At 49.7% G+C, this 23294-nt stretch overlaps 1 protein-coding gene across 3 annotated transcripts in view, besides 3 other annotated features; it reads right to left on the bottom strand.

Moving 5' to 3' along the window:
• Positions 1-23294, bottom strand: part of POU2F2 (POU class 2 homeobox 2) — a 111827-nt gene that overhangs the window by 86028 nt on the left and 2505 nt on the right. Inside the window, exon 1 of one of the 3 annotated variants that reach the window (NM_001393934.1) lies at positions 5016-5169. The exons of the other annotated variants lie outside the window; for them this stretch is intronic. The gene's annotated coding sequence lies outside the window, so the exon portion shown is untranslated. Of the gene's footprint in view, positions 1-5015; positions 5170-23294 lie in introns of those variants that run through there. 3 annotated transcript variants of the gene reach the window in all.
• Positions 4048-4550: an enhancer, noted in NCBI's record as "H3K4me1 hESC enhancer chr19:42680337-42680839 (GRCh37/hg19 assembly coordinates)". NCBI's record gives its function as "activates a minimal SCP1, AML or CMV promoter by ChIP-STARR-seq in primed H9 embryonic stem cells {active_cell/tissue: H9 hESC(primed)}" and the evidence as "EXISTENCE:reporter gene assay evidence [ECO:0000049][PMID:30033119]".
• Positions 4900-5049: a silencer, noted in NCBI's record as "silent region_10687". NCBI's record gives its function as "represses an Ori minimal core promoter by ATAC-STARR-seq in GM12878 lymphoblastoid cells {active_cell/tissue: GM12878}" and the evidence as "EXISTENCE:reporter gene assay evidence [ECO:0000049][PMID:35858748]".
• Positions 5150-5229: a silencer, noted in NCBI's record as "silent region_10688". NCBI's record gives its function as "represses an Ori minimal core promoter by ATAC-STARR-seq in GM12878 lymphoblastoid cells {active_cell/tissue: GM12878}" and the evidence as "EXISTENCE:reporter gene assay evidence [ECO:0000049][PMID:35858748]".

The following is a 23294-nucleotide window of genomic DNA, read 5'->3' on the forward strand; positions in this document are numbered from 1 at the left end:
TGCCACCAGTCTGCTTTTCTCAGTATCTGAGCATCCTTAAAGACTCACCTCCCTGTCTAAACCCACACCATCTTCATTCCCCAGATTCCTAATGACCTGGAAACTCCCTTTGTGCTCACAGTCCAGGCGCCCAGAATCCTGTCTAAGGCTGGGATTGGTTCTGCTTCAGAGTCTAGGCCTTTGTTGGCCCATGGTCAGTGCCTAGCGATCATTTTCAGGTTAAGGAGTGATCATACCACCATTGCCCGATTACCTCAGGGAACTCACTGGACTTTATTTGTTCAGTGATTCACACCACTCAATAAATACCTATTGAATGCAGGGACCTTGCATGTGGAGCCACCACCTTCAGCCTCCTTCCGAATGCGTCAGAGCTGGGAAAGCTGCCTGTCCCGAGGATCTAATGAAGTTGGGGTGGTGATCGAGTGAGGGAAAATGCACCTGCCTCCCAAGGCCACCATGTGGATCTGAAAAGGTGACACAGGGCTCACCAAAAGGGGTAGGGGGGACCATAAGCTCATGCAAACCCCTGTGTTTGAACAGGCCCAGCCCCAAACCATCACTGATGGAACGAGCTCAACCATGCTCATTTGCTGGCTCTCCCTTCAGGATATAAAGCGAGACCCACATCCTTAGAGCCCTCACTGAACCACATAAGGCATCCATCCACCCGACAGGTCCTGGGAGACAGGTCTGTGGATGGACATCTCAGGGGGCAGGGAGGAAGTGGGGGAAGAGACAGAGCCAGTGAAAGGAAATGGCGCTGGGACAGCTAATGGGATAGGACAGACCTATAAGGACAGACAAGGCTCGGTATGAGGAGGACCTTGGTTCTAGCGCCAGCATGGTTGCTGACAGGCTGAGCAAATGATGTGGGCCTCAGAATTCTCATCTGTGAGAGGGACACCACTGGGGCTGCTGTGAGAGCGAGGTGGGTGTAAGGGACATCATGGTCATTATTATTATTAGATCAAGAGGTGTTGAGCCCAAGGGAAAAATGATGAGTGAAATATATTTAGAAGGAGGAATAGACATCCATCTGAGGAGGCCTTACACCCACTCTGTCTTCTAACAACTCTTCACACTTGGGTTTCTCAACCATCTCCATCCTGAAATATCTTGGAAATTAACCAGCACATGCCAGAGATGGAAACTTCTCCCTTGCCATCATCGATGTCCAAGTAGCCCCTGGTGTGGCCATCTGTCCCTGCTCCCCTCGTTGCAAGTCATGCCTCTACACATTATGATTATGCACCAGGGCTATGAAAAGCTCTACCCAGTGGGGTGCTAAGGTTGGGGCCCTTGCTTTGCTGTCACATTGGTGGAGGAAGAAGTTCTGGCTTATAGGCCCTGCATACAAGAAGGGAGTGTATATGAACCAGAATGGAGGTGGCCTGGAGTGGCCACTGACGGACTTGCTAGAAAAAAAAAAAAAAAACACCTGGCCAGCATGCTGTCTAGGACGTATAGGCTAACAACCTCTACACACACAGCATGGGTATAGGTGTGTGCATACACACACACTGTGGCTGAGTTCTTTCCCTACTACAGCCCTGACACAGACACCTTCCATTTTCCCTGCAAAGACTAGCAGAGGGAAGTGAGCGCAACCAAGACCCCCAAAGATGACACTGCAACCTGCCACAGAGTTCACCAGCACATGCCAGCACAGCCTCAGGGAAATGGGGGTCTGGACCTCTCCAACGGCAAGGATGGGCCTCTGTCCAGCATTACCCATAAATCAGGAAGTAGATGTGGAATCGCATTATCAGCAACTGGAGATGCTGCCTATGGCCCTGATCGGCTTTACTCCTGGCCTGCCTGTCACCCCCTGACATGGGACGCTTTGTTACTACAGAAGGTCCAGGGAAGCTTTTCATGGGCTGATAGACTGTGGGGAGAGGGGATCTTTTCTTGTTTTGTTTTCTTGAACCCAGCTTCAAGGCTGCTGTGCAAGCATGCCGTCAAACTCAGCCATACGCCCGCGACCTCTGTGCACTCACACATCTCTCATCACTCTACCCAGACCCTGCTTCACAAACCCACCCTCCCTCTTACCCAGGACACGCAGAGACCCCGAGCAATAACAATAATAATATCTCCATGCAGAAATGGTACTTTCACATATGTGACTTTTTTTGATGTGCACCCTTGTGTGCACACACTATGTTCAGACCTAGTACCCATACACAGAGCCTTCACTCCAAACACGCTGCACATACAAAGTGTCACGTGTCCACTGCTGAAGCCAGACTCGGCACATGGGCCTGCACACGCGTGGACGGCTTCCACGCACAGAGCCAAAGAGGGCCTCCTGAATGCACACATAGCGAGTGATACATAAACATCAGGACGAGGGAGAGATCAGTACAAATATGCACTGACTCCCTTCTGCACATATGTCACCCATGATGGGGACCCCCAGTACCCAACCCCCCACTGAAAACACATGTCACGATTCTACACCTTTGGCTCCTCACTCTGCCAAGGCTTCGAGGCCCAGCACACACAGTTAGTCCTTCCTGAACACATCTCACCACACATGCAGGCCTTATACACATGCATGCTGCCGTCATGGTCTGACTCTGTACCCACCAGCCCCCCACTGCACACTGACTCTGTACCCACCAGCCCCCCACTGCACACTGACTCTGTACCTTCCCCTTATATCCTGGGGGGTGGAAGGACAAATCCACCTGACAAGATGGCAAGAGACTAAAAGCTACTGAGCGAAGCGGCTGATTGGGTCTTTCTCTAAATCCAGGACCTACTCCCCAACTCCACAGGCCCCAGGAAGGAGGCAGAAAGTGGGGAGTGGTCATCAGGCCAAAGGCTTTCTCTCAGGATCTTTTACCTGGACTCAAAAGCTCTAAGGACTCTCTCAGATGGACTTCCGCCCCAATTTCCTCCCGTTTTCACTTCCCGCTAGGCATCCATGTCATTTTCTTCTCTGTCCACACCCTTCTCAGTGGGGCTGAGTCGACAGCCATGAGCCCTCACTTAAGATCTTCCCCTCCCCCTCCCAGAGCCCCAGTGAGCATCCAGCAGGACTTCTCCAGGAGGCCACAAGGAAGTAGGGGGTGGCACTAGAACCCAGGGGACAGACCCAAACCCCCACTCAGGGTAAAAAAGAGGGTAGAAATACATGGGGTTTCAGAACAGGGGTTAGGCTCTGGTAGGAAGTTGGGGATTCCTGCCTTTGCATGGAGCCCCTTTCCCTGGCACCCTGTTGAAGGCCAGAGCAGCAAGAGTGATGAATAAATGAAACTGAGGGAGGGGGTAGAAAGAGCTGGCAACAGGGGAAATGAGTGGCAGGAAGGGAAGAATAAAAGAAAGGGGGAAAGGGGGAAGGGAAAAACGGAGAAAAAAGAAGGGAAGGAGGTGGAGATAAGGGAGGTAGAAAAAGAAAAACTAAGGGGTGGGGAGGAGGAGAAAGAGCTTTTATTGAGAAAAGGAAGAGATAGAAACTGAAAAACAGTGAGAAAGAAAAAACAGTAAAGGAGATGGAAATAAAGGAGCTGAGAAAGGACATGAAAAGGGAAAGAAAAGAGACCAAAGAGGCAGCAGGCAGTCGAAGGGGTTCCCCAAGTTACAGACTTTGTCCAGAGAGCTGAGGGGTGCACCGCGGCTCCCCAACCTCACTCTGGGGCCCTGGAGCTCCGTTTTCCACCTCTCCTCCTGCCTGAGATGCCACCGCCTCTGAGTGCCCCATCCCGGCTGCTTTTTCCTATTTCTCACCGTTTCTGCTCTCCAAGGCACCCCGTTCCTTTCTCTCACCCCTCATTCCCACCACCCAGCCCTTTCTCGTTCCCTGTGCCCTCTTACCTCTCCCCCCCCATTGCACCCTGCTTGCTTCGGAGCTTCAGACAGCATCACCGACCAATATCCTCACCATCATCGTACTAAACCGGCCCCCACACCTCCAGGAAAAGAGAGAGAGAGAGAAAAAAAAAAAAACAGGCGGAACCGCCACCAGCCCTGACCCCCTCTCGCCTCATTTTCTCCACAGTCGCCCCTTCCTCAAATGCAGGGTCAAAATGGGGGTCCCGCCCAGCCCGGGGAGCCTCTCCGAAGCGCCGCAGCCAGCCGGGAGCAGATGCCACCTCGCCTCTCTTCTCTGTCCTCGCTCCTTTTTGTGTTCAGTGGCCCTGGTTGCGATGTGTTTTATTTTCATCGTCTTTTTATTGGTATTGTTTTTTTTCTCTTTTTCTTTTCTTTATTTTTTGGCCCGGGGGCAGCAGCGGCGAAGCGCCCACTGCCTGCCTCTTTCCTCAGCTCTGCGGCCGTCAGGCTCTTTCTCTAGTCTGCGCTCTTGACTCCCTCCTTTCTCTTCTGCCTCGGCTCTCGCTCCTCCGCTCCTCCGCTCCTCCGTCCTTTCAGCTCCGTCCTCAGCCGACTGCCCTCTCCTCTCTCTACTGCTTCCCCCTCCACGCCTCTCCTTTCCTCATCCTTCTTGCCCCTTCTCCCTTTTTCCTCTCCCTCTTCACCTCCTCTCCGTCCCCATTTCTTTCCATCCCTGCCCCCCGCCCCCACGTACACCTCTCCTTTGGTTCCCTCACTGCCATCGAGAGCAAGCTGACCCCCCCCATCCCCAAATAATAAAAATACCCAGCCAGGGGGCAAAGCCCCGGCGCCGGGCGCCGAGAGGGAGGCGAGAGGGCCGGGGCCGCGGCGGCGGCTGACAGCCGGAGCGCGGTGCGGAGTGAGCGGCGCCCGCCCGGCTCCCGCCCGGCTCCCGCCCGGAGAGCTCTCTGCAATAGGCCGAGCCGGCTGCATTAAGCTTCTTGCAATCAATAAAGCGCGGGTCAGATTATGCAAAGCGCAGATATTAATATGCAAAGTTTTAAAGATTTTTAAATGGAAGGGCAAGCGCGGCGCGGGCGGGCGGGCGGGCAGGGGCTGCGAGGGGAGAGGGAGGAAGGGAGGGCAGGCGGGCGGGCGCGCAGGCGAGCTGGGGAGAGGAGGAGGCTGCCCGCCGCCCGCCCGCCCGGCTGCGCCGCGCCGCCTTGCCTTACCGCTGCTCCCATCGGTAGGCGCCGCTGTCTTCGCCATGCGCGTCAGCTGCACGGCTCCGAGGGGATGGCCGAGGAGGAGCCGCCGCCGCCAACGCTACCCCCGCTCCCGCTCCCGCTCCCGCGCCCGCTCGCTGCCTGCTGCTGGCGCTGCTCTGGCCGCTGCTCCTCGCCTGAGCTGCCGGCGCGAGCCCAGGCGCGCGCCATCCCCGGCTCCCACCTTGTCCCCATGGCAACCCCGGGCCCAAGGATGCTCAGAGAGAGAGCGCGAGCGAGAGAGCGAGGGGGGAGAGAGGGAGAGGGAGAGGGCGGGGAGCGCAGGGGACACGGAGGCAGGGAGAGGCCCGAGACCCACAGAGACACAGAGAGACACAGAGACGGAGAGATGCAGACATATGCAGAAACAGAGACACAGAGATAGAGGAGAGGGGTAGGAATAGAAGGGGACACGGAGACAAGGACAATCCTTGAGACCGACAGAGGCCCACAGAGATACTGAGAGACACAGAGACACACGGACACACAGAGACACAGAGACACACGGACACACAGTAAGAGACAGAGGGGTAAGGGCGAGGGGCAGGGAGCAGAGAGGGATTCAAAGGTATGGAGAGACACTGAGGTCCAGAGACTAACAGAGATACTCAGAGACACAGAGACACCCAGAGATAGAGACAGAGAAAAAAGAGAGAGGGGACAGGACAGGGAGCACAGAAGATGCAGAGGCAGAGAAAGACTCCTAGAGGCAGAGAGATGCTCAGAGACACAGAGACACACAGAAACAAATAGACACGGGGACACACAGAAAAGAGACAGAGAAGGGTGGGGAGCACAGGGGACTCAAAGGCAGGGAGAGGCCCTAAAAGCCAGAGACTCAAAGAGACACCCAGAGACAAAGAGGAAAAGGAGAAGGGAGAGGGCAGGAAGTATAGGGGACATGGAGGCAGAGAGATGTCCAGAGACACACAGAAATATAGAGACACAGGAACAGAGTGGGGGGAGAGGAGGGAGGAGGGAGCAGATGGGGACATAAAGGGGCACCAAGAACCACAGAGACACTCAGAGACAAAGAGATAAGGAGAAGAGGTCCATGCAGAGACAGAGATGCAGAGTCAGAAAGATAGCCACAGAGAAGTAGACACACAGAGACAGAGAGATAGTGAAAAAATATATATGGGGAGAGAAAGAGACTAATTCACAAAGACAGAGACACAGAAATAAGAGAGATAGATATGCACAAATCAGAGATAGGAGAAAGCTACACGCAAAGAGAGACAAATGAAGATGTAAGGCAGTGTTGCAGAGATACAGAGATAGGAAGACATAGAGACAGAGGCAGACACACACAGAGGTAAGAGATATAGACCTGCGGAAACAGACAGAGATTAAGAAAGAGCCGTTGAAAGAGCCGTTGAAAGAGACAGAGAAACAGAGATGGAGAGATGCAAAGCCAGAAAGACAGACATTGACAGAGACCAAAAGATACAGAGACTGAGACTGAGACAGAGAAAAAGGCACAGAGAGAGTCAAACAAGGAGACAGAGTCAAACAAGAAGGTGTAGACAGAAACACAGAGAAATATACATAGGGATTCTGAGAGAGAACCTAAGAAACAGAGACAGAAAGAAATGTGCAAAGAGAGAAACAGAGATCAAGACATAAAAAGAGATGAAAAGAAATACAGAGATGGTGAGAGAAAGAAAGCAAAGACAGAGACCCAGAGAGTCAAAGTGAGGCAGAGAAATGCAGAGACATGGACAGAGACTGCAAGAAAGTGACAGGAACAGAGAAACCTCAGGAGACACACAGAGAGACACAGTGAGATGGAGAAAGGCACTGGAAGAGGCTTTCAGTTGGACAGAGATCCACAGAGAGATGCGAGACAGAGACAAGAAGAGACAAATGGAGAGTCAGAAATAGAGAATGAGGTCTGGTAGACAAGGCTGGGGATGGGGGGCAGAGACAGAGCCCAGGTAAAGGAGGAAGGGACAGGCTGGGGTGAAAGCAGAAAGTAGGAAGGTGACAAGAGGGTCCAGGGAAGCACCAAGGGGGAAAGGGCAGACAGGAGGGGAGGGAAGAACAGCAGAAAGGAGAGGAGTGGGGAAGGGAGAGGAGGGGAAGAAAGAGAGGAGGGCAGTGCCCAGTCACCAAGCACCTCCCCTGTGCCAGGCACATTATGGCTTGGAGACAGGGAGGAAGGAAAGGAAGGCCAAGGGTGAAGGGGCTCCGACCAGGGGAAGGTGGGCACAGGGTCTTGGGAGGGTGCATGGCTCCCGCCCCCTGCAGGCGGGGGTGCAGTGGTGCAAAGAGGAGGATAGGGTTGCAAGTGGTACCCAGACCTGGGAGGGGGTGTGAGAGGGAGGGAACAGGAGGGGGAAGGCAGGGAGGGAAAGGGAGGAGGAGGAGGAGGACGCAGGCACGCGCTGCGCGGTCTTGGCTTAGCAGCTGCAACCGCCCTTCGCTTTGTTACCAGCAAGGCTACCCCATGCATACTGAGTGGACACGCGGGACCCTCATGTGTGTGTGAGAAACACGAGAATCACCAACTGCCCACGTGTATGGAGAACGCTCCCAAGACCTACACTGGAAGTGCGTAACATAAATAAATATAGGAAACACCTACCCCGTGGGCGTACAAAGTAAGTACCCAGGACCTGTGCAGCGTGTGCATAATAGACACAGAACTACCTACTACTCCCTGTACGGAGCAGCCTCCTGGGACCCGCACTGTGTGCGCAACACAAATAAATGCAAGGAATACTACCCTCTGTCCATACAAAGTAGGTATTTGGGTCTTATGCAGCAGATGCATAATGGACATGGGACCACTTAATACCCCCATACAGAGCAGACTCCTGGGATCCACACAGTGTGTTCACAACACAAATAAATACAGGAAACGCCCACTCCAACTGCACACAAACTAGGCACATGGGCCTACAGGGCATGAACATAGTGGACACGGAACCACCCCATAGCCACCTACCAACCAGCCTCCCTGGGACCCATACTGTGTGGGCACAACATAAATGAATGCAGGAAGTACCCTATCCCCCATGCCTACAAAGCTGGCACACCAACCTAATAGACTTAGCTAGTGTGAACATAAGAGACACCCATGAGCAGGTTCTGGTGATCCACAAAGGCACATAACAAAACTGAACATAAGAAACACCCACTCCGCTTGCATACAAAGGCACATGGGGTCCCAATAGTGAGGAGAGAACTCAAAAAAGGGTGTATATAATGACAACCCACACACTATCCATTCTGGAAGGAGCAACAAGGAATACTGGACCCTGCAATGAATCTACCCAGCAGACTCCCAGGTCCCTCCATCTGTACGTGTACAATAGACCTAGGAGGAGCTATGGACAGCCTGAGTACCTACTAGAAGGGAAGCAGGGACAGGGCAGAGACCAAGGATGTCCTGTTCCCTGCCTTGGCCCTGGCACCTACAAGGACCAGTACATGGGTGGGGTGGGGGGCGGTCATCCTTCCTAAGAATGACCAAGTACATAATAATTGTGTATACAGTGAGTATACACTAAGCACACAGCACCAATGTTTGTCTGTTTGTTTGTTTGTTTGTTTTGAGACAGGGTCTCCCTCTGTCACCCAGGCTGGAGTGCCGCAGCGTGATCATGGCTCACTGTAGCCTCAAACTCCTGGGCTCAAGCAATCCCCTCTTGCCTCAGCCTCCCAAGTAGCTGGGACTACAGGCATGCACCACCACACCCATCTATTTTTTTTTTTTTTAAGCAGAGATGAGGTCTCCATATGTTCCCCAGGCTAAAGCACCAATTTTAAGGATCCAAAAAACTTGGTTTGATATGTGCTAAGTCCATATCATATGCTTACTTGCCAGTATGTTAAGAGTCTGTGGTCCACAACCTATGCATGATTGGTATCTTAATTATCCAGAATATCCATATTAAGCAGAAGCTGACATCCCTCATGGACTTACAAAAGTCAGATCCAATAGGAGACTTAAGCAATCCGCACATGCAGGTTGTCCTAACTGATTTCTAGGGCTCCGCCCAGCCCCGAGTCATGATTCCACGAAGGCTGATGCAGCACATGTATACACACCAGGCACATGCAAAGACGTACACCATACACTGTACACAACACAGCAAAAACATGTGTGCTCTCTCTGCTTCTGAAATAGCATAATTCCAGAAGTACCAGATTCCTCTGAGGAATGTGTGTGTGTGCATGTCTGAGTGAGGGCCATCTCTGGGTACAGGTGTGCATGTACATGGCTCTTCCTGTACGAATGAGCTCAGCTCTTATTCCCTCCTCATTCTGCCTGTTCATCTTTCAGAAACATGTATACAAATAATAGTACCTGATGTATACTAAGTACAAAACATTGCAAGCTATGGATGACCTTAATTGAGTGTGTGCGTCTGAACATACATTTATTTATTTATTTATTTATTTATTTATTTAGAGACAGAGCCTTGCTTTGTCACTCAGGCTGGACTGCAGTGGCACAATCTCGGCTCTCTGCAACCTCTGCCTCCCGGGTTCAAGCTATTCTCCTGCCTCAGCCTCCCGAGTAGCTGGGATTACAGGCGCATGCCACCATGCCCAGCTAATTTTTGTATTTTTTAGTAGAGACGGGGTTTCACCATGTTGGTCAAGCTGGACTCAAACTCCTGACCTGGTGGTCCACCCACCTCGGCCTCCCAAAGTGCTGGGATTACAGGCGTGAGCCAACACTCCCGGCCTTGAACATACCTTTAGATAGATGCATTTGTTCATTAATGAAACATTTGTTCGCGCATCTGTGGCCATGTGTGTGCGTGTGTGTACATCTTGGTGTCTTGGTTACAAGTCTTGGGGCTCCCTTATAATCTCTGAGGATAAAGGGTGTAAGATAAGGGAAACGAAGGCACACAAAGCAGGAAGGGAAGAAACTGGGGAGAAGGAAAAAAGTGGTGCAAGGACAAGGAGCAAAAAGAAGAGACCTGTTATTCAGGAGGCTGAGGCACAAGAATCACTTGAACTCAGGAGGCAGAGGTTGCAGTAAGCCAAGATTGTTCCACTGCACTGCCCTGGGCGATAGAGCAAGACTCTGTCTCAAAAGAGAGAGAGAGAGAGAGAGAGAGAGAGAGAGAGAGAGACCTGGAACTGGAACTGGATGTATGGAAGGAAGGGAGGAGGCCCTGAGGACACAGGCAGAGGGAGATGTGGTGCGGGAGCAAGGAAGAGAACAAGGACAGGAGGAGAATGGGTGTGAGAGAAAAGAGGAAGCTAGGAGGAGGAAGGGAGGTGAATGGTGAGCAGAGCAGAGTGAGGGTATCAGGAAGAGTGAAGGGGACTGGGGAGAGGAGAAAGGAGATGGGAGAAGGAGATAAAGACCGAAGGGAAAGAAATAAGAAACAGACAGAGGCTTTTCTGGTCTGAATGAAATTTAGAGGTTGCCCCAGTGGCCTCCTATGGGAAGGTGTTCGAGTCGGAGGATGAAGGTGAAGCAAAAGAGAGAAAGGAAGAGGAATCACAACCTAGCTCCCTAGGATGGGGCAGCCAGCTGTCTCCATCATCCTAGAAGGGGCCCAGAGACAGGGACCCGGAGGCACAGACAGAGAGGTATGCAGAGCTGGACTGAGATGTGGAGTCATCTGAAGTGGGTAGGGTCCTGGGACAGGCAGGAGGAGGAGTGGAGAGACTTGCAGGCTCAGGGAGGCCAGGGCTCAGTGGTGTGGAGACTTCCAAAGACCAGGAGGAGGCTGGAGCAGGCAATGGAGCAGGGCCCTGAGACCACAAGCGGGGAATCGAAGACCAGGTAAAGGGAAGCAGGTTAGAGAAGGGCAGAGAAGTGAGGGCCTGCTGAGCAGAACCAGCCAAAGTAAATGGAGGAGCAGCTGGAGTGGGATGAAAAGGCCATGAGGCATCTTGCAGATGGGTCCTGCCTTATGCACACCCGGGTTCAGAAGCTCTCCCAGGCTGACTCTCCCCAAGCATTCAGTTTGGTTCCATTTAAGACATGCATACTGAATACTATCACGAATTAGCACTATGCTGTAAGCTGAAGAAACAAATGCAAATGAGACACAACTCTGCCCTCATAGAGACCCTCATCTGAAGTTGTTGGTGGGGGAGGGAATGAACAATAAATACACAGTTACTGATACACACAGCAACACAGAAGTACCTCAAAACCAAAGTGAGAGATGCAGAAGACCACACACTGTAGGATTCCATTTACATGAAATTCTAGACAGCAAAACTACTGTGACGGAAAAGCAAATGAGTGGTTGAAAAGGGCTGCAGTGGAAGGAGGGGACTGACAGCAAAGGCGCCGGAGGGAACTTTTTAGGGTAATGGAAATGTTTTGTAACATGATTGTGGTGGTGGTTACACAACTGTGTGTGTGTGTAAACTCATTAAACTGTACATTTACAACTGGTGAATTTTATTGCATGCAAATTATATCACAATAAAGCTGATTGCAAATAAATAAATAAATAATTACCAGCCAGAATATTCAAGACTCAAGATAGGGCTCTATGGGAGCCAAGAGGAGGTGGATGGGGCAGTGACGGAAGGCTTCTGAGAAGAGGTGATGCCTGAGATAAGACCTGAAGGATAAACAGGAGGCAGGATGGAGAAAGCGTTCCCATGGAAGAAGAGCTTTCACATGGAAGCAGGTGAGAACTGAAAAAAGTTCACTATGTTTTGAACACAGAATGGAGAGTAAGACTATCAAGAAGTGAGTGCAAAGAAAATCAGGGTTCAAAATACAAATCCATTGCTATTCGAAGTACCATGTTGAATAAAACCCACCTGCACCTGAAAAGGCCCAGAGAGAAGGAAACTATGAGACACGACTGGGGATTTTTTTTTTTTTTTTTTTTTTGAGACAGGGTCTCTCTCCTCCCTCTGTCATCCAGGCTGGAGTGCAGTGGCACAATCACAACTCACTGCCACCTCGACCTTCTCCTGCCTCAACCTCCTGAGTAGCTGGGACGACAGGCGTGCACCACCACAACCTGCTAATTTTTGTATTTTGTGGTAGAGACAGGTTTTTGCCATGTTGCACAGCCTGGTCTTGAACTCCTCGGCTTAAGCGATCTACTGGCCTTGATCTCCCAAAGTGCCAAGATTACAGGCATGAGCCACCGCTCTGGGCCAAGACTGGGGATTTCTAATTGGCCTCCTGTCTGCCCCACAGAAAGGTCTCCTTCCTGCCGCCCTTCCCAGAACTTCCTCCCTGCTCTTTTCACATGGGGATGTCTCTCTCCATTAGGAAGCAGCCTCTGCTCTGGACCTATCCCCCAACCCTGCCCACATCTCCAAGAGTTTGTGGGCCCCAGTGAATCCCTCCAACCTGGATTCCATGTGGCCACTGCCCCCTGGTGGCTGAAGTGATGCATGACTAAGGACGAAGGGACACCTCCAAGTCCAGGCCCAGCATGCCCTTCCAGAGGCCAGTCCAAGGCACTCCCACTACTGCCCCCCAAGACACACCCTTGTCCCTGACAGTCTCCTCCTTGCTAAATCCTACAAGCACTTTTCAGTCCTATCTGACTCTCCTCTGCAGCATGCAGCCACAAATATCTTTTCAAAATCCTCTTGGCATCTAAGAAACCTCACTCTCTTGGTTCTCCAGCTCTGTCTGGGCTGCTCTCCCAGGGTGAATCATCCCCTCCCACAACTGCTTTCTCTATGCTGGTAATCCCTAAATTTGTCTCCAGTTTAGCCCTCTCTCCTAAGCTTCACATCAGGATACCCAGCCACCTCCTAGAGGTTCCAAAAATACCTCAAAATCAACATGTCTAATCTAATCATGTCATCTTCTCTACCATGCCCCTAGACCTTGGTTCCCACTCCCCATGGTGATACTCCATCCAATCTAGCATTCAAGTCAGAAAAATTGTCCCTGTCCTTGACACCTTCCTCTTCCTCATATTCACATCCAATCAGGATTGAAATCCCATCCAGTTCATTTACTTCATTAATATTAAAATTTTAAACCATATGAAATTGACAATATCACCCAGCTTTTTCTTACAAAATGGGAATTTCATAGAGTTCAACCGAGTATTTCTCAAATCCATCTCCTCCTCTCTTCCCTGCTCCCAGTGTCCTAGTTCAGGCCTCCACATCTCCTGCTTGGCCCATGAATCTCCTTACTACCTGGCCTCCCAGTCTCCCCTCTTGCCCCCTTTCTAGTCTATCCTCCACACTGGCTACTGGGGTAATGTTTCTACAATATGGCTCTGATCAAATCACTCCCCTGCTTCAAACTCTTACTTCCTGTTGCACACAGGACAAAAGCCAAACTCCTTAGTCAGCTTTTCAGACCCTTCACAGTAACTGGCTCCCCTCCCTCTACAGGGAGCACCACTATGCATCCTGTACTGCAACCACACCAAACCACCACCACTTCCTTGAATCTGCCCTTAACCTCTTGGCCTTTGTACTTGCAGTTCCCTATAACTGGAATGCCCTTCTCACTCTTGTCCCCCTGGCTAACTTCTATTTGACTCCAAGAACCAACTTAAAATCATATGTTAATGTAAACCTCCAGTTCATCCATTCATCCATCCAATACACACAGCTTGAGTATCTATACTTGTATGACCTCCATAGAAGGTACCGGGGACACAAAGGGGAATAGGACACAATTCCTGCCATCAAGAAAGCTCACGGTCCAGTAAGAGACACAAATGCATATATAAATCACAACACTATAGTGTGCTAGGACACAAAACTAGACTGGGAAAATTGAATTTTACTTATTTTTGAGATGCCGTTTCACTCTGTTGCCCAGGTTGGAGTGCAGTGGCACTATTATGGCTCACTGCACACTCGAACTCCTGGGCTCATGTTATCCTCCTGCCTCGGCCGCCCCAGTAGCTGGGACTATAGGTGCGCACAACTACACCCGGCATTTTCTTGAATTTTAAAGGGGACTGGGACGCCGAGGCGGGTGGATCATGAGGTCAGGAGATTGAGACCATCCTGGCTAACACAGTGAAACCCCATCTCTACTGAAAATACAAAAAAAAAAATTAGCCGGGTGTGGTGGCGGGCGTCTGTAGTCCCAGCTACTTGGGAGGCTGAAGCAGGAGAATGGTGTGAACCCGGGAGGCAGAGCTTGCAGTGAGCCGAGATTGCGCCACGGCACTCCAGCCAGGCTACCCTGGCTGGACAGAGCGAGACTCCATCTCAAACAAAAACAAAAACAAAAAAAGAATTTTAAAGGGGAAATAGTCCTTCTGAAGGAGTCATTAAAATTGGAGGGAAGCATGAACAAGAGCACACAGGTGAGGAAGAGTAGGTTGTGTGCAGGGAGGCAGTTGGGATTGCTAAAGCATAAACCATAAGAGAAAAATGCTGCTGGAGAGGCTAGATGGGGCCCAATCATTAAGTATCTTTTGATCTAGGAGGCCATGGGGAGCCGCTGATGGGTTTTCATCAAGAGCAGCTTTGCATTTTTGAGAATATGAATCTGAGAGGACAAGAATGAAAGCAGGAAAAACCAGGAAGCTATTGCAATAGCCTAGGCAAGAGATGCTAATGGCCAGTATTGACATTGGTATCAGGGACATGAAGGAGGCAACAGGTTTAAAAAACCCGGAGGTAACTCAAGTCAGCAGGGCTTTATGTTTGGATATGAGCGTCAGGGAGAGGGTGGTGCCAAGGATGATGCCCACGTTTCTCACTTGGATGCCCGGATGGATGGAGGTGACATTCATTGAGACAGGAGAAAATAGGAGGAGGCACAGAACTTATTCGACAAAGTTCTTTCTTGAACCTCTTATATCTGAGGTGCCTATGAGACATGTCCTGGATCCAGCAAAGAGTTATATTAGTTCTTCAGTCTATATTGGGATACAGTTGTGTGCAGTGTCATAGAGAGAGGTCTCTGGGCTGAAGATCTGGACATCATTAGCATAGAGTTGATAGCTGAAATCACGAGTCGATGATGTCCCTCAAGAAGAATACGCCGAATGTGAAGAGCTCTAAGCCCAGAAAAGAGCCCAGGAGAAGTGCCACATTTCAAAGGTGGGCAGAGGTCAGGTGCAGTGGTTCACGCCTGTAATCCCAGCATTTTGGGAGGCCGAGGCGGGCGGATCACCTGAGGTCAGGAGTTCAACACCAGCCTGGCCAACATGGCGAAACCCCGTCTCTACTAAAAATACAAAAAATTAGTCGGGCGTGGTGGAGGGTGCCTGTAATCCCAGTTACTCAGGAGGCTGAAGCCGAAACAGGAGAATCACTTGAACCCAGGAGGTGGAGGCTACAGTGAGCTGAGATTGTGCACTCCAGCCTAGGTGAGACTCTGTCTCAAAAAAAAAAAAAAAAAAAAACAGGCCAGGTGAGGTGGCTCAAGCTTGTAATCCTAGCACTTCGGGAGGCCAAGGCAGGCAGATCACCTGAGATCAGGAGTTTGAGATCAGCCTGGCAAACATGGTGAAACCCCATCTCTACTAAAACTACAAAAATTAGCTGGGCATGGTGGTGGGCGCCTGTAATCCAAGCTACTTGGGAGGCTGAGGTAGGGAGAATAGCTTGAACCCAGAGGTGGAGGTTGCAGTGAGCCGAGATCATGCCACTGCATTCCGGTCTGACCGACAGAGCGAGACTCCATCACAAAAAAAAAAAAAAAAAAACAGGTGGGCAGAGAAATGAAGTCCCTAAATGGACCACAGAAGAAGCTGTCAGGGAGAAGAGAAGAGAACCATGAGCCTGCTTCATTATGGAGGCTGTGGTAGGCCACCCCTAAGAGGTCCCAGTGACCCCTGCCTCCTGATACTCATGTCCTCGTGTGGTGCCCTCTGCTTGAACGTGGGCTGAACCTTTTGACTTTTTTAAATCATTCTATATTTCATTTCAAAAGTGACTCACTTCTCATGAATAGAATGTGGCAAAAGTGATGGGATATTACTTCTGAGATTAGGTTATAAAAGACTATGGCCTGGTGCAGTGGCTCATGCCTATAATCCCGGCACTTTCGGAGACCAAGGCAGGCAGATCGCTTGAGCTCAGGAGTTCGAGACCAGCCTGGGCAACATAGTGAAACCCCGTCTCTACCAAAAATACAAAAAATTAGCCAGGCGTGGTGGTGCGTGCCTGTGGTCCCAGATACTCAGGAGGCTGAGGTGGGAGGATCACCTAAGTCTGGGAGGCAGAGGTTGCAGTGAGCTGAAACGGTGCCACTGCACTGCAACCTGGGTGACAGAGTGAGACCTTGTCTCCAAAAAAAAAAAAAGAAAAAAAGGGCCGGGTGCAGAGGCTCACGCCTGTAATCCCAACACTTTGGGAGGCCGAGGTGGGTGGATCACCTGAGGTCAGGAGTTTGAGACCAGTATGGCCAACATGGTGAAATCCCATCTCTACTAAAAATACAAAAATTAGCCGGGCGTGGTGGCAGATGCCTGTAATCCCAGCTACTCGGGAGGCTGAGGCAGGAGAATTGCTTGAACCCAGGAGGCGGAGGTTGCAGTGAGCCGAGATTGCGCCATTGCACTCCAGCCTGGGGGACGAGAGAGAGTTCATCTCAAAAAAAAAAAAAAAAAGAAAGAAAGTGAAAGAAAGACAGAGAGAGGGAGGGAGGAAGGGAAGAAGGAAAGAAGGGAGGGAAGGAGGAAGGAAGGAAGGGAGGGAGGGAGGGAAGGAAAGGGAGAGGGAAAGAAAGAGAAAGAAAGAAAAAGAGAGAGGAAGAAAAAAGAAAGAAAGGGAAAGAGAGAGAAAGAAAGAAAGAAAGGGAGAGAGGAAGGAAGGGAGGAAGAGAAGAGAGGAAGGAAGGAAGGAAGGAAGGAAGGAAGGAAGGAAGGAAGGAAGGGAGTTTTGGGTTGATTTAATATACAGAAGCCAAGGAAGGAAAGATTTCTAAAAGAGAGGTACTGGTCGATGGAGTTAAAGCTTTAGATAAAGATGAAAAATGTACTTGGATTTGGCAAGAGAAAGTCCTTAACAAGCTCAATGTGAGTGGTTTCAGTGAGTTGTGACTCAAATGCAAGGTGAAGGCCGGGGCTGGTAAGCAGGAATGGATACCAATGTTTCTGCCCACCCAGCATCCATTTCGCCATCCTCTGTAATGGCTCCCTGACTTTTCACTGAGTAACCATTACCCACGTCCTACTGGATATGCTTCCATGAGACTGTTAGGGCACTCAGCTGTCCACAGGCCAAGGGGAGTCATGGGAGGCCACAAGACTCAAGCTGCACCAGTCAGAAGCTCTCCCTGGAATTTGAATCATGAGCTTATGTGACAGGAGGCCCAAATCTGATTGCAGCTGATTTATGTTGTACCCAGGGCCCTGAGGAAGCTGCCATTCCTTCCTGCTACTTCAATCCCTGCTACTGCCCTGGTTCTAGTCTTTTCTGAAGGCTGCTTCTTCAGTCTCTCCCTCTGTTGTGAGTGCCATCTTAATCTCCTTCTAATAAATATCTTTCTTGCTTAAGTTAGCAAGAGTCGGTCTCTGTTGCTGCAGCCAAAGAACCCTAACTCATACTTGTCCTTTCAAGAATTTGGGATGAGATGAGGAGGACAATGAAGGACAAGCACGAGGGGAGCATAGCCTGGAGGAAGGTAGAGGTTTTTTTGAGTGCGGCGGGGGGAGTTTGTTTTGTTTCTTTGTTTTTGAGATACTCTGTCACCTAGGCTGGAGTGCAGTGGTGGGATCATGGTAGCCTCAATCTCCCAGGCTCCAGCAATCCTCCTCCCTCAGCCCCCTGAGTAGCTGGGACCACAACAAGTGCACACCACCATACTTGGCTAATTTTTTTTTATTTTTAGCAGAGACAGGGTCTCACTATGTTGCCCATTCTGGTCTTGAACTCTTGGTTCAAGCAATCCTCCCGCCTCAGCCTCCCAAAGTGCTGGGATTACAGGCGTAAGCCGCTGCACCTGGTGAGTTTTTTTCTTTTAGTTAGTTTCTAAGGTGGTAGAAACATGGATGTATCTATAGGTTAAGAAGGAAGACAGAGAAGAGGGAAGGTGTGGAAACAGGGAAGGGAAGAAAGATGGAGTAAGAGTCATGCTGGGAGTCATGCTGGGATGAGCAATACACAGGTGGAGAGGAGGACAAGAACAGAGCTTGAAGAAGTGAAATAAATATGGGTGTGGCTACATGAAGGGTTGTTTCATTTGTTTAAAAAAATCTTTATATATATATGTGTGTATATATATGTATAAAAACCTATATATATATATATGTTTGATAACAAGTTGAAGGAAATCATGGTCCATTTGCCTCAATTTTATTTGTTGAGACTGAAAGGGTAGGGTTGTAGGGATGCTCAAGGGAGAAGGGTAAGTGAGAGAGGGGGCTGGCTAAGAAGTTTGAGTGACACCTATATGTGCTACTCTGCCACCATTTTTCCCTGAGCCAAGTTCTACCACCTGGACCACAGTTAGGGATATGCTGGCAAATGAGGCAGAAGGCTGGGGGTATAAGGGGCTGGGCACGATGGCTCACACCTGTAATCCCAGCACTCTGTGAGGCCGAGGCAGGCTGATCACTTGAGGTCAGGAATTCGAGACCAGCCTGGCCAAGATGGTGAAAGCCTGTCTCTATTAAAAATACAAAAATTATAAAGATTATTAGTATGAATGCTGTTACTGAGATAAATGAGCCTATGGATGAGATAATATTTCATGCGGTATATGTATCAGGATAGTCGGAGTAACGTCGAGGCATACCTGGTAGGCCAAGGAAGTTCTGTGGGATAAAGGTTAAATTAACACCTATAGATGTAACGGTAAAGTGGATTTTAGCATAGGTCTGGTTAAGTGTGTAACCTGAAAAAATGGGGAATCAGTGGACACCTGTGATCCCAGCTACTTGGGAGGCTGAGGCACAAGAATCACGTGAACCCAAGAGGTGGAGGTTGTGGTGAGCTGAGATCGCGCCATTGCACTCCACACTCCAACCTGGGTGACAGAGCGAGACTCAGTTTCAAAAAAAAAAAAAAAAAAGGCTAGGGTTGTAGGATTGTAAGGGAATTGAGAGCATATGCTGGTCATTTTCCATTTGCCCTCCAGGTCCACCCTCCATTCTTCTCTACCCATATGGGTGGCATCATCGGACCCCCCCTTGCTCTCTGACTTCAAATTAGGTTCCTCCCTAAAAGAAGCACCAGCAGGGCATCAGAGAACAGAAAAAGAAAGCATTCTGGATACTTCTTCTCCAACTCCCAGCTCTGTGTCAGCACCTTGGTTCTGACAGTGGCTGTGCCCCTCCACAACTCCAGCTCCTCTCAGGCATGTTCCATGACTCTCACAGCACTCCAGTAATACCAATCCTTTCCTCACTCCTTCAGACCTAAGGGTGGTCACAGCTTCCTGCTGCCTTCACCTCCCTTGTTGGTTACCTCAACCCTGCCCACACCTCTGCAAAGAGTCCCTTCATTAAATTATCTTCAAAATCCCAGCTGTGGTGCCTTCTGTTTCCTGCTGGGACCTTGACTATTAGAGAGCTAGTGAAAGAGCTCAGATGGTCCAATATGAGACTCTGGCTGGGCAAGGAAGGGAGAGAAGCCAGGAGGGGTCTGGCAGACTGGCAGAAAACAGAGGGATCAAGGGAGTAGAGCTCTCTTTGAGTTGACGCCACAGGTGTGATGGCAGTGAGGGGCTGTCAGATCTGAAAGGCAGGTGCTGGGATCAGAGAGCAGGATGCTGGATTTTGAACTGGGTTGTGGTTAAAATCAGGGATTTTTTATTTGGAACTCAGAAAGTCATGTGTTAGAATTCCGACTCTGCCATTTTACTAAATGTGTCACCCAGGCAAGTGACTTTACCTTCCTGAGTGTATATCCTCATCTGTAAAATGAGGATACTAACACCAGCCTTCCAGGTTTGTGTCAGGCGTAAACACATGTAAAGCATTTGGCAAAGTGCCTGGCATGTGGTATAAGTGCTCTGTAAATGTTCACTATGTATGTTACACTTCCTGGTAATGACTAAACCCAAGGTGTGGTCATGGGAGTGGATGACTAAAGTGGGATGAAGGTCACCAGAGATGAAGTGGAAAGAGACTGTGAGGCTAGATCATTACGAGGATGGATTATCAGGGACAGTTAAATATCCCAGCAGGAGAGCATGGGTTGGGGTGGAGAGGAAGTCTATGAGCAGGTGCTAGTCTTCAGGAACGAGGTGAAGTGACCAGGGAGTCAACGGATGTCAACAGGGAAGTGGGATAGAGGGTGGTGGAACCTGAGGACATAAGCCTCAAGGAAATCTGGGTCCTCAGTCCCTCTTACATCCCTTTGAGATGTCCCCAGTGATCATGTTCCCTACTAAGCCAGAGTTTATCAAGGGTGGGGTTGGATCTAACTCATCTTGTAGTACCTAGGACAGGTGTTTAAGCTGGTAAATGCTTGTTGAATGACTTGGTGTTTGAGGGAAACAGAAAAGTCTACCTCTGCATCGTATTTACCCTTGGTAATAATAATTCTTCTTATTTTAAGTAACCTAATGCTTCTTTTAAACCTCTTATTCAATTTAAACAAATATTTCCTGAGACCTTCATACATGCTATTCCATCTACCTGGAATACCCTCACCCACTCTATACACTCAAAGACCTCCTACTCCTCATTCAAGAAAGAGCAGAATTTAATTATTAGGAAGAAGAAAAGTAAACCACAATGATAAACTGCTACACATCCATCAGATCAGCAAAATTAAAGCATCTGACAACACATAGTATTGGTGACAATGTGAAGCAAAGAGAGCTCTCATTCAGTGCTGGTGGGAGAGTAAACTGGTACTGACACTTCAGAAAAATAGTTGGAGAGTGTAGTGTGCAGAAAAATTTCCTGCAAAAGCCAGGCGCGGTGGCTCACGCCTGTAATCCCAGCACTTTGGGAGGCTGAGGCGGGCGGATCACGAAGTCAGGAGATCAAGACTATCCTGGCTAACACGGTGAAATCCCGTCTCTACTAAAAATACAAAAAAAAAAAAATAGCCGGGCGTGGTGGTGGGCGACTGTAGTCCCAGCTACTAGGGAGGCTGAGGCGGGAGAATGGCGGGAGGCGGAGCTTGCAGTGAGCCAAGATCGGGCCACTGCACTGCAACCTGGGCGACAGAACGAGACTCCGTCTCAAAAAAAAAAAAAAAAAAAGAGGAAAGAAAAATTTCCTGCGAAAGATGTCCAGACTGAAGCTCTGGAACCTGTGAATGTTACCTTAAATGGCAAAAAGGACTTTGCAGATGTAATTAAAGATTGTGAAATGAAGAGATTATCCTGGATTATTTGGGTGGGCCCTTAAAGCAATCACATATACCCTTCTAAGAGGGAGGCAGAGGAAGATTTGACACAGACAGAAGAGGAGAAGGCACCACAGAAGCAGAGATTGGAGTGATGCTGCCACAAGCCAAGGGATGGTGGTGGCTACCAGAAGCTGAGATAGGCAAGGAACACATTCTCCCCTAAGCCTCAGGAGGGAGTGCAGTCCTGCTGGCACCTTAATTTCAGTCTAGTGGAACTGGTTTTAGATTTCTGGCTTCCTGAACTGTGAGAAAATACATTTATATTGTGTTAAGCCAGCACGTTTATGGTAATTTGTTATAGCAGTTACAAGAAACAGTATAGACAGCCAAACCCATGCATACGCATACCTATGTCCAGCAATTCTATTTCCAGGTATATCCCTATAGAAACATAAGCATTTGTTCACCAAAAACCATGCACAAGAATGTTCATAGCAGCATTATTCATAATAGCCTCCAACTGGAAACAACCCAAATGTCCATCAAAAGGTCAGTGCATGAACTCATTGTGTATATTCATACAATGGAGTACCATGATACGCCAATAAAAATGAGTCAACTACAGATAAGCAGAATATAGAAGAATCTCACAAACACAACGCTGGGTAAAGGAAACCAGACACAACAGCAAACATATGGTATGATTCCATTTATATTATGTTCAAGAAGAGATAAAATTAACTCTATCACTGAGTGATGAAAAACTAGAAAATTGAAGAAAAGCAAGGCGGTGGCTCATGCCTGTAATCCCAGCACTTTAGGAGGCTGAGGCGGATCGCTTGAGCCCAGGAGTTCAAGACCAGCCTGGGCAACATAGTGAGACCCCGTCTCTACAAAAAAAATAATAATAATAAGCCAGGTGTGGTGGTGCATGCCTGTAGTCCCAGCTACTCAAGAGGCTGAGGTGGATTGCTTGAGCCCAGGAGTTTGAGGTTACAATGAGTTGTGATCGTGCCACTGCACTCCATTCTGGGTAACAGAGCAAGACCCTGTTGAAAGAAGCAAAAGAAAAAGAGAAAGAGGAAGAAAGAAATGAAGGAAGAAAGTGAGGGAGAGAGGAAGGAAGGAAGGGAGGAAGAAAGAAAGGAAGAGATCGGGTGCCGTGGCTCATGCCTGTAATCCCAGCACTTTGGGAGGCCGAGGCTGGCGGATCACCTGAGATCAGGAGTTCGAGACCAGCCTGGCCAACATGGTGAAACCCCACCTCTACTAAAAATATAAAAATTAGCCGAGTATGGTGGCACATGCCTGTAATCCCAACTGCCAGGGAGGCTGAAGCAGAAGGATCTCTTGAACCTGGGAGGTGGAGGTTACAGTGAGCCGAAATCACGCCACTGAAGTCCAGCCTGGGCAACAGAGTGAGACTCTGTCTCAAAAAAAAAAAAAAAAAAAAAAAAAAAAGACAGGAAGGGGAGGGAGGGAGGAAGAAGGAAGAAAGGCAGAAAGGGAGAAAGGGAGGAAGGGAGGGAGGGAAGGTGGAAAGAAGGAAAAAAGGAAGGAAGGAAGAAAGGGAGGGAGGGAAGGAGGAAGGAAGGGAAGGAGGAAAGAAAGTGAGGGAAGGAAGGGAAGGAAATGAAGGAGGGGGGAGGGAGGGAGAAAGAGAGGGAGGGAGGAAGGGAGGGAGAGAGGGAGGGAGGGAGGAACGAAGGGAGGGAGGGAGGAAGGAAGGGAGGGAGGGAGGGAGGAAGGAAGGGAGGGAGGAAGGGAGGAAGGAAGGGAGGGAGGGAGGGAGGAACGAAGAGAGGGAGGAACGAAGGGAGGGAGGGAGGGAAAGAAGGGAGGGGGAATGGAGGGAGGGATGAGAGCATGACAGAAAGGTGGGCAGGTGGCTCCCTGATATCCCCCAGCGTCCCTGCTGTTAACGTTATTTCTTGGCAAGAGTAACACAGGAAAGGAGGGAGGTTTCCTCCTTCATTTCCTTCCCTTCCTTCCCTCCCTCTTTTTCTTTTTTTTTTTTTTTTTTTTGAGACGGAGTCTCATTCTGTCGCCCAGGCTGGAGTGCAGTGGCGCAATCTCGGCTCACGGCAAGCTCCGCCTCCCGGGTTC

The sequence above is a fragment of the Homo sapiens genome, chromosome 19 (genome assembly GCF_000001405.40).
Source record: "Homo sapiens chromosome 19, GRCh38.p14 Primary Assembly".
Taxonomy (NCBI): domain Eukaryota; kingdom Metazoa; phylum Chordata; class Mammalia; order Primates; family Hominidae; genus Homo; species Homo sapiens.